The sequence below is a fragment of the Homo sapiens genome, chromosome 3, assembly GCF_000001405.40.
Source record: "Homo sapiens chromosome 3, GRCh38.p14 Primary Assembly".
In the NCBI taxonomy this organism is placed as follows: Eukaryota; Metazoa; Chordata; class Mammalia; order Primates; family Hominidae; genus Homo; species Homo sapiens.
Window position 1 is genome coordinate 26,777,118 of NC_000003.12, and position 11,611 is coordinate 26,788,728.

General features: G+C 38.3%; 2 annotated features.

Moving 5' to 3' along the window:
* Positions 5,676 to 6,269: an enhancer, noted in NCBI's record as "OCT4-NANOG-H3K27ac-H3K4me1 hESC enhancer chr3:26824284-26824877 (GRCh37/hg19 assembly coordinates)". NCBI's record gives its function as "activates a minimal SCP1, AML or CMV promoter by ChIP-STARR-seq in naive H9 embryonic stem cells {active_cell/tissue: H9 hESC(naive)}" and the evidence as "EXISTENCE:reporter gene assay evidence [ECO:0000049][PMID:30033119]".
* Positions 6,270 to 6,862: an enhancer, noted in NCBI's record as "OCT4-NANOG-H3K27ac-H3K4me1 hESC enhancer chr3:26824878-26825470 (GRCh37/hg19 assembly coordinates)". NCBI's record gives its function as "activates a minimal SCP1, AML or CMV promoter by ChIP-STARR-seq in primed H9 embryonic stem cells {active_cell/tissue: H9 hESC(primed)}" and the evidence as "EXISTENCE:reporter gene assay evidence [ECO:0000049][PMID:30033119]".

Consider the following 11,611-nt stretch of genomic DNA (forward strand, 5'->3'; position numbering starts at 1 on the left):
TGTTTATTGCAGCACCATTCTCAATAGCAAAAATATGGAATCAACCTAAGTGTCCATCAATGGAGGATTGGATAAAGAAAATATGGTGTATATATACTATGGAATACTACTCGGCCATAAGAAAGAATAAAATCATGTATTTTGCAGCAATATGGTTGGAACTGGAGGCAATTATCCTAACTGAAAAATCTCAGAAAAAGAAAGTCAAATACCTCACGATCTCACTTAAGTGGGAGATAGACAATAGGTACACATATACATACAGGGTAGAATAGACATCAGATACTTCAGAAGGTGGGAGGATAGTGAAGGTTAAAAAATTACCTGTTGAGTACACTCTTCACTATTTGGGTGATGGGTACATTAAAAGCCCAGAACTCACCACTACACAATATATGCATGTAAGAAATCTGTACTTCTACCCACTAATATTAAAAAGTGGTGCCAGTAAAGACTGTATAATGGGAAAGTCCCACGACTGAAGGTAAGAAAGCTTGCTTGTACACAAATATTGCAACTTTTAAAATATATATATAGACGTGGAGACCCAGGTTGGAAAAGAATGATTAAAAATGAAATTATTACTATGTTCAGCTAGTGATATTATAGATAATATTTATTTTTAAAACAAATTATTCTAGTCATAATATTGTTTTACAAACACAAAGAGATTTTAAAATGTTTTTACTTAAGAAAACCCATCTTTATAGACAACAAGGCACTCCTGCTTTGTTTTTATTTAGATTCATTAATCCTTTGTTTTTATTTAATTTTTTGTGGGTACATCATAAGTGTATATATTTAAGGGGTACATGAAATGTTTTGATATAGGCATTGAATATGAAACAAGCACATAATGGAGAATGGGGTAACTATCTCCTCAAACATTTATCCTTTGAGTTGCAAACATTTCAAATATAATCTTTATTTCAAAATGTACAATTAAGTTATTATTGACTATAGTCACTCTATTGTGCTACCAAATAGTGCGTCTTATTCATTCTTCCCAACTATTTACTTTTGTACCCATTAATCATCCCCACCTTTCCCACCCCAAGCTCCCTACTACCCTTCCCAGCCTTTGGCAACCATCTTTTCCTCTTTATGCCTGAGTTTAATTGTTTAATTTTAACATTTGTAGATCCCACAAGTGAGTAAGAACATGTGATATTTGTCTTTCTGTGCTGGGTTTATTTCACATAATACAATCATCTCCAGTTTCATGCATGTTTTTTCAAATGACTGGATCTCATTCTTTTTTTATGGCTGAATAGTACTCCACTGTATATATGTGCCACATTTTTTTTATCCATTCATCTGTTGGTGGGCACATAGGTTCCTTCCAAATCATAGCTATTGTAAACAGTGCTGCAACAACATAGGAGTACAAGATATCTCTCTAATATACTGATTTCCTTTCTTTTGGGTATACACCTAGCACTGAGATTACTGGGTTCTACGGTAGCTAAATTTTTAGTCTTTTGAGGAACCTCCAAAGTATTCTCCATAGTGGCTGTACTAATTTACATTCCCACCAACAGTGTATAAGGGTTCCCCTTTCTTCACACCCTCTCCGGCATTTGTCTTTTGGATATAAGCCACTTTAATTGGGGTGAGATGATATCTCATTGTAGCTTTGGTCTGCATTTCTCTGATGATCAATGATGTTGATCATCTTTTCATATGTTGTTTGTCATTTGTATGTCTTCTTTTGAGAAATATCTATTCAAATATTTTGCCCATTTTTATCAGATTATTAGGTTTCATTTATTTGAGCTCCTTACGTATTTTCGTTATTAATCACTTGTTAGATGAGTAGTTTGCAAATATTTTCTGTGGGTTGTCTCCTTATTTTGTTGACTGTATATCCTTTGTTGTGCAGAAGCTTTTTAGCTTGATGTGATCCCATTTATTCATTTTTGCTTTGGTTGCCTGTGTTTCTGGGGTATTGCTTGCTTAAGAAGTCTTTGCCCAGATCAATGTCCTGGAGATTTTCCCCAGTGCTTTCTTGTAATAGTTTCATAGATTGAGATGTTAAATTTATGACTTTAATCAATTTTGATTTGATTTTTGTATATGGCAAGAGATAGGGGTTTAGTTTCATTCTTCTGAATATGGATATCCAGTTTTCCCAGCACAATTTATTGAAGACACTATCTTTTCTCCAGTGTATATTCTTGGAACCTTTGACAAAAATGAGTTCAAAGTAGGTGTGCGGATTTATTTCTAGGATCTCTATTCTTTTCTGTTGGTCTATGTGTCTGTTTTTATGCCAGTACCACACTGTTTTGGTTACTATAGCTCTGGAGTATAATTTGAAGATAGGTAATGTGATTTCACCAGCTTTTTTATTTCACCAGCTTTTTTGGTTTTCGTTTTGTTTTGTTTTGCTTAGGATAGCTTTGGCTATTCTGGGTCTTTTATGGCTCCATAAAAATGTTAGGATTGGGCCGGGCACAGTGGCTTAAACCTGTAATCCCAGCACTTTGGGAGGCCAAGGCGGGCAGATGACCTGGAGTCAGGAGTTCGAGACCAGCCTGGCCAACATGGTGAAACCCCATCTCTATTGAAAATACAAAAATTAGCTGGGCATGGTGGCAGATACCTATAAACCCAGCTACTCAGGAGGCTGAAGCAGGAGAATCACTTGAACCCAGGAGGCGGAGATTGCAGTGAGCCAAGATTGTGCCACTGCATTCCAGCCTGGGTGACACAGGGATACTCTGTCTAAAAAAAAAAAAAAAAAAAAAAAAAACAAGAAAAAAGAAAATTTTTTTTGTATTTCTGTGAAGAATGTCATTGGTATTTCGATAGAGATTGCATTGAATGTATAGATTGCTTTGGGTAGCATGGACATTTTAACAATATAGAGATCTTTTACTTATTTGGTTAAGTTATTTCTAGGTATTTAATTTTATTTCTGGTGATTGTAAATGTAGGTATTTAATTTTATTTCTTTTTCACATTGTTCACTGTTGACATATAGAAATGCTGCTGATTTTTGTATGTTGATTTTGTATCCTGCAACTTTACTGAATTTGTTTATCAGATATAATAGTTTTCTTGTGGAGTCTTGCGGTTTTTCCAAATGTAAGATCATATCATCTGCAAACAAGGATAATTTGACTTCTTCCTTTCCAATTTGAATGCTTTTTATATCTTGCTCCTGTCTGATTGCTCTAGCTAGAACTTCTAGTACTATGTTGAATAATTCTGTTGATATAATATATCACAATGATTAATTTGCATGTGTTGAATCATCCTTGCATTCTAGACATAAATCCCACTTGGTTATGATGGATGATCTTTCTAATGTGTTGTTGAATTTGGATTGCTAGTATTTTGTTGAGGATTTTTACATCAATATTTATCAGAGATAGTGGCCTATAGTTTTTTGTTTTTCTTTCTTTCTTTTGATGTGTTTTTGTCTGGTTTTGGTATCAGCGTAATACTGGCCTCATAGAATGAGTTTGGAAGTATTCCCCTCTCCTCTTTTCTTCACAAGAGTTTGAGTAGAATTGGTATTATTTCTTCTTTAAATGTTTGGTACAATTCAGCCATCAGGTCCCAGGCTTTTCCTTAAAGGGAGACTTTTTATTATGACTTTGAACTCATAACTTGTTATTGGTCTATTCAGGTTTTGGATTTCTTCCTGGTTCAATCTTGGTAGGTTGCATGTATCTAGGAATTTGTTCATTTCTTCCATATTTTCAAATTTATTGGCATATCATTGCTTATTATAGCCACTAATGATCCTTTGAATTTCTATGGTATCAGTTGTAATATCTCGTTTTTAATTTCTGATTTTATTTGGATCTTCTTCTTCTTTTTTGTGGGGGAGGATGGAGTCTTGCTCTGTTGCCCAGGCTGGAGTGCAGTAGCACAATTTTGGCTCACTGCAACCTCTGCCTCCCGGGTTCAAGCGATTCTCCTGCCTCAGCCTCCTGAGTAGCTGGGATTACAGGCACGCATTACCATGCCTGGCTAATTTTTGTATTTTTAGTAGAGAGAGTGTTCACCATGTTGGTCAGGCTGATCTTGAACTCTTGACCTCGTGATCCACCAACCTTGGTCTCCCAAAGTGCTGGGATTACAGGTGTGAGCCACCAAGCCCAGCCATCTTTTTCTCTTGGTCTGACTAATGGTTTGCCAATTTTTCTTACTTTTTTTTTTTTTTTTTTTTTGAGACAGAGTCTCACTCTCTTGCCCAGGCTGGAGTGCAGTGGCGCTATCTCGGCTCACTGCAAGCTCTGCCTCCCCAGTTCACGCCATTCTCCTGCCTCAGCCTCCCAAATAGGTGGGACTACAGGCGCCCGCCACCATGCCTGGCTAATTTTTTGTATTTTTAGTAGAGACAGGGTTTCACCATGTTAGCCAGGATGGTCTCGATCTCCTGACCTGGTGATTCGCCCGCCTTGGCCTCCCAAAGTGCTGGGATTACAGGTGAGAGCCACCGCGACTGGCCGCTTGCTTTTTAAAAAAATCAACTTTGGTTTCATTGAATCCTTTTATTCATATTTTTTAATTTCAAATTTATTTATTTCTGCTCTGATATTTATTATCTCTTTTCTTCTAATTTTGCATTTAGTTTGCTCTTGCTTTTCTAGTTCTTAAAGATGCATCATTAGATTGTTTATTTGAATTTTTTTAATATTTTTTGATGTAGGCATTTATAGCTATAAATTTCCCTTTTAGTACTGCTTTTCCTGTATCCCATAGGTTTTGGTATGTTGTATTTCCATCATCATTTGTTTCAAAGAAATTTTCAAGTTCTTTCCCAATTTCTTTATTGATCCATGATTAATTTGGGGGAATATTGTTTAATTTCCATGTATTTGTATAGTTTACAAAATTCCTCGTTTTTAATTTCTGTTCTATTCCATTATGGTTAGAGAAGATGACTGATATTATTTCAATTGTTTTGAATGTTTTAAGACTTGTTTTGTAAACTAAAATATAATTTATCCTAGAGAATAATTCATGTGCTGAGGAGAAGAATGTGTATTCTGCAGCCATTGAATAAAATCTTCTATAAATATTTATTAGATATATTTAGTCTATAGTGCAGATTAAGTCTGATGCTTCTTTGTTGATTTTCTATCTGGAAGATCACTCCAATGCTGAAAGTGGAGTGTTGAAGTTTCCAGCTATTATTGTATCAGGGCCTATCTCTCTCTTTACCTCTGATAAGGTTTGCTTTATATATCTGGGTGCTCCACCGTTGGGCTTATATATATTTAAAATTATTATATTATCTTGCTGAATTGACCCCTTTATCATTATAGATTACTTTCTCTGTTTTTTCTTATAGATTTGGTCTTGAAATCTATTTTTTCTGATATAAATAGAGCAACTTCTGCTCTATTTTGACTTCCATTGGCATGGAATATCTTTTTTGATATCTTTATTTTCAGCCTATGTGTGTCTTTATAGGTTTTGTGTGTTTCTTGGCAACAGATCAATGAGTCTTGTTTTTTTCATCCATTCAGCCAGTCTATGTCTTTTAATTAAACAGATTAGTCCATTTACATGTCATGTTATTAGTGATGAGTAAGGACATACTCCTGCCATTTTGGTATTTGGTTTTTGGTTGTTTTGTGGACTTCTCTTCCTTCTTTCCTACCAGTCTTCCTCTAACGAAAGTGATTGTCTTTAATGACATGATTTAGTTTCTTGTTTTTTTATTTTTTGTGTCTCCCTAGTAAGTTTTTTTGGTTTAAGGTTACCACGAGACTTGCAAATACTATTTTATATCCCATTATTTTAACCTTTCAACAACTTAACACTGTTTGCATAAACACATTAACAAGCAAAAAGCAAATTCATAAAACCTACATGGCTTAACTTTGTCCTCTAGCTTTTAAACTTCTTGTTTACTGACTTTTTCAATATTCAGGTGGTCTTGAAATGTTGTAGTTATTATTTTTGATTGATTCATCATTTAGTCTTTCTACTTAGCATAATAATTTACACACCACAGGGGGAGGAGCCAAGATGGCCGAATAGGAACAGCTCTGGTCTACAGCTCCCAGCCTGAGCGACGCAGAAGATGGGTGATTTCTGCATTTCCATCTGAGGTACCAGGTTCATCTCACTAGGGAGTGCCAGACAGTGGGCGCAGGTCAGTGGGTGCGCGCACCGTGAGCGAGCCGAAGCAGGGCGAGGCATTGCCTCACTCGGGAAGCACAAGGGGTCAGGGAGTTCCCTTTCCTAATCAAAGAAAGGGGTGAAGGAGGGCACCTGGAAAATTGGGTCACTCCCACCCTAATACTGAGCTTTTACGATGGGCTTAAAAAACAGCGCACCATGAGATTATATCCCGCACATGGCTCGGAGGGTCCTACCCCACGGAGTCTCGCTGATTGCTAGCACAGCAGTCTCAGATCAAACTGCAAGGCGGCAGCCAGGCTGGGGGAGGGGCGCCCGCCATTGCCCAGGCTTGATTAGGTAAACAAAGCAGCTGGGAAGCTCGAACTGGGTGGAGCCCACCACAGCTCAAGGAGGCCTGCCTGCCTCTGTAGGCTCCACCTCTGGGGGCAGGGCACAGAAAAACAAAAAGACAGCAGTAACCTCTGCAGACTTAAATGTCCCTGTCTGACAGCTTTGAAAAGAGCAGTGGTTCTCCCAGTACGCAGCTGGAGATGTGAGAACGGGCAGACTGCCTCCTCAAGTGGGTCCCTGACCCCTGACCCCCGAGCAGCCTAACTGGGAGGCACCCTCCAGCAGGGGCACACTGACACCTCACACTGCAGGGTACTCCAACAGACCTGCAGCTGAGGGTCCTGTCTGTTAGAAGGAAAACTATCAAACAGAAAGGACATCCACACCAAAAACCCATCTGTACATCACCATCATCAAAAACCAAAAGTAGATAAAACCACAAAGATGGGGAAAAAACAGAACAGAAAAACTGGAAACTCTAAAAAGCAGAGCGCCTCTCCTCCTCCAAAGGAACGCAGCTCCTCACCAGCAATGGAACAAAGCTGGATGGAGAATGACTTTGACGAGCTGAGAGAAGGAGGCTTCAGACGATCAAATTACTCTGAGCTACGGGAGGACATTCAAACCAAAGGCAAAGAAGTTGAAAACTTTGAAAAAAATTTAGAAGAATGTATAACTAGAATAACCAATACAGAGAAGTGCTTAAAGGAGCCGATGGAGCTGAAAACCAAGGCTCGAGAATGACATGAAGAATGCAGAAGCCTCAGGAGCCGATGCGAACAACTGGAAGAAAGGGTATCAGCAATGGAAGATGGAATGAATGAAATGAAGCGAGAAGGAAAGTTTAGAGAAAAAAGAATAAAAAGAAATGAGCAAAGCCTCCAAGAAATATGGGACTATGTGAAAAGACCAAATCTACGTCTGATTGGTGTACCTGAAAGTGATGGGGACAATGGAACCAAGTTGGAAAACACTCTGCAGGATATGATCCAGGAGAATTTCCCCAATCTAACAAGGCAGGTCAACGTTCAGATTCAGGAAATACAGAGAATGCCACAAAGATACTCCTCGAGAAGAGCAACTCCAAGACACATAATTGTCAGATTTACCAAAGTTGAAATGAAGGAAAAAATGTTAAGGGCAGCCAGAGAGAAAGGTCGGGTTACCCTCAAAGGAAAGCCCATCAGACTAACAGCGGATCTCTCAGCAGAAACCCTACAAGCCAGAAGAGAGTGGGGGCCAATATTCAACATTCTCAAAGAAAAGAATTTTCAACCCAGAATTTCATATCCAGCCAAACTAAGCTTCATAAGTGAAGGAGAAATAAAATACTTTACAGACAAACAAATGCTGAGAGATTTTGTCACCACCAGGCCTGCCCTAAAAGAGCTCCTAAAGGAAGCACTAAACATGGAAAGGAACAACCGGTACCAGCCACTGCAAAATCATGTCAACTTGTAAAGACCATCGACACTAGTAAGAAACGGCATCAACTAACGAGCAAAATCACCAGCTAACATCATAATGACAGGATCAAATTCACACATAACAATATTAACTTTAAATGTAAATGGACTAAATGCCCCAATTAAAAGACACAGACTGGCAAATTGGATAAAGAGTCAAGACCCATTGGTGTGCTGTATTCAGGAAACCCATCTCACGGGCAGAGACACACATAGGCTCAAAATAAAAGGATGGAGGAAGATCTACCAAGCAAATAGAAAACAAAAAAAGGCAGGGGTTGCAATCCTAGTCTCTGATAAAACAGACTTTAAACCAACAAAGATCAAAAGAGACAAAGAAGGCCATTACATAATGGTAAAGGGATCAATTCAACAAGAAGAGCTAACTATCCTAAATATATATGCACCCAATACAGGAGCACCCAGATTCATAAAGCAACTCCTGAGTGACCTACAAAGAGACTTAGACACCCACACATTAATCATGGGAGACTTTAACACCCCACTGTCAATATTAGACAGATCAATGAGACAGAAAGTCAACAAGGATACCCAGGAATTAAACTCAGCTCTGCACCAAGCGGACCTAATAGACATCTGCAGAACTCTCCACCCCAAATCAACAGAATATACATTTTTTTCAGCACCACACCACACCTATTCCAAAATTGACCACATACGTGGAAGTAAAGCTCTCCTCAGCAAATGTAAAAGAACAGAAATTATAATAAACTGTCTCTCAGACCACAGTGCAATCAAACTAGAACTCAGGATTAAGAATCTCACTCAAAACTGCTCAACTACATGGAAACTGAACAACCTGCTCCTGAATGACTACTGGGTACATAACGAAATGAAGGCAGAAATAAAGATGTTCTTTGAAACCAATGAGAACAAAGATACAACATACCAGAATCTCTGGGATGCATTCAAAGCAGTGTGTAGAGGGAAATTTATAGCACTAAATGCCCAGAAGAGAAAGCAGGAAAGATCCAGAATTGACACACCCTAACATCACAATTAAAAGAACTTGAAAAGCAAGAGCAAACACATTCAAAAGCTAGCAGAAGGCAAGAAATAACTAAAATCAGAGCAGAACTGAAGGAAATAGAGACACAAAAAACCCTTCAAAAATTAATGAATCCAGGAGCTGGTTTTTTGAAAGGATCAACAAAATTGATAGACCGCTAGCAAGACTAATAAAGAAAAAAAGAGAGAAGAATCAAATACACGCAATAAAAAATGATAAAGGGGATATCACCACGGATCCCACAGAAATGCAAACTACCATCAGAGAATACTACAAATACCTCTACGCAAATAAACTAGAAAATCTAGAAGAAATGGATAAATTCCTTGACACATACACCCTCCCAAGACTAAACCAGGAAGAAGTTGAATCTCTGAATAGACCAATAACAGGTTCTGAAATTGTGGCAATAATCAATAGCTTACCAACCAAAAAGAGTCCAGGACCAGATGGATTCACAGCCAAATTCTAATAGAGGTACAAGGAGGAACTGGTACCATTCCTTCTGAAACTATTCCAATCAATAGAAAAAGAGGGAATCCTCCCTAACTCATTTTATGAGGCCAGCATCATTCTGATACCAAAGCCAGGCAGAGACACAACCAAAAAAGAGAATTTTAGACCAATATCCTTGATGAACATTGATGCAAAAATCCTCAATAAAATACTGGCAAACCGAATCCAGCAGCACATCAAAAAGCTTATCCACCATGATCAACTGGGCTTCATCCCTGGGATGCAAGGCTGGTTCAATATATGCAAATCAATAAACATAATCCAGCATCTAAACAGAGCCAAAGACAAAAACCACATGCTTATCTCAATAGATGCAGAAAAGGCCTTTGACAAAATTCAGCAACCTTTCATGTTAAAAACTCTCAATAAATTAGGTATTGATGGGACACATTTCAAAATAATAAGAGCTATCTATGAGAAACCCACAGCCAATATCATACTGAATGGGCAAAAATTGGAAGCATTCCCTTTGAAAACTGGCACAAGACAGGGATGCCCTCTCTCGCCACTCCTATTCGACATAGTGTTGGAAGTTCTGGCCAGGGCAATTAGGCAGGAGAAGGAAATAAAGGGTATTCAATTAGGAAAAGAGGAAGTCAAATTGTCCCTGTTTGCAGACAACATGATTCTATATCTAGAAGACCCCATTGTCTCAGCCCAAAATCTCCTTAAGCTGATAAGCAACTTCAGCAAAGTCACAGGATACAAAATCAATGTGCAAAAATCACAAGCGTTCCTATACACCAACAACAGACAAACAGAGAGCCAAATCATGAGTGAACTCCCATTCACAATTGCTTCAAAGAGAATAAAATACCTAGGAATCCAACTTACAAGGGATGTGAAGGACCTCTTCAAGGAGAACTACAAACCACTGCTCAAGGAAATAAAAGAGGATACAAACAAATGGAAGAACATTCCATGCTCATGGGTAGGAAGAATCAATATTGTGAAAATGGCCATACTGCCCAAGGTAATTTACAGATTCAATGCCATCCCCATCAAGCTACCAATGCCTTTCTTCACACAATTGGAAAAAACTACTTTAAAGTTCACATGGAACCAAAAAAGAGCCCGCATCACCAAGTCAATCCTAAGCCAAAAGAACAAAGCTGGAGGCATCACACTACTTGACTTCAAACTATACTACCAGGCTACAGTAACCAAAACAGCATGGTACTGGTACAAAAACAGAGATATAGATCAATGGAACAGAACAGAGCCCTCAGAAATAATGCCGCATATCTACAACTATCTGGTCTTTGACAAACCTGAGAAAAACAAGCAATGGGGAAAGGATTCCCTATTTAATCAATGGTGCTGGGAAAACTGGCTAGCCATATGTAGAAAGCTGAAACTGGATCCCTTCCTTACACCTTATACAAAAATCAATTCAAGATGGATTAAATACTTACATGTTAGACCTAAAACCATAAAAACCCTAGAAGAAAACCTAGGCATTACCATTCAGGACATAGGCATGGGCAAGGACTTCATGTCTAAAACACCAAAAGCAATGGCAACAAAAGCCAAAATTGACAAATGGGATCTAATTAAACTAAAGAGCTTCTGCACAGCAAAAGAAACTACCATCAGATTCAACAGGCAACCTACAGAATGGGAGAAAATTTTTGCAACCTACTCATCTGACAAAGGGCTAATATCCAGAATCTACAATGAACTCAAACAAATTTACAAGAAAAAAACAAACAAACCCATCAAAAGGTGGGCGAAGGATATGAACAGACACTTCTCAAAAGAAGACATTTATGCAGCCAAAAAACACATGAAAAAATGCTCACCATCACTGGCCATCAGAGAAATGCAAATCAAAACCACAATGAGATATCATCTCACACCAGTTAGAATGGCAATCATTAAAAAGTCAGGAAACAACAGGTGCTGGAGAGGATGTGGAGAAATAGGAACACTTTTACACTGTTGGTGGGACTGTAAACTAGTTCAATCATTGTGGAAGTCCGTGTGGCGATTCCTCAGGGATCTAGAACTAGAAATACCATTTGACCCAGCCATCTCATTACTGGGTATATACCCAAAAGACCATAAATCATGCTGCTATAAAGACACATGCATACGTATGTTTATTGCGGCACTATTCACAATAGCAAACAAAGACTTGGAACCAACCCAAATGTCC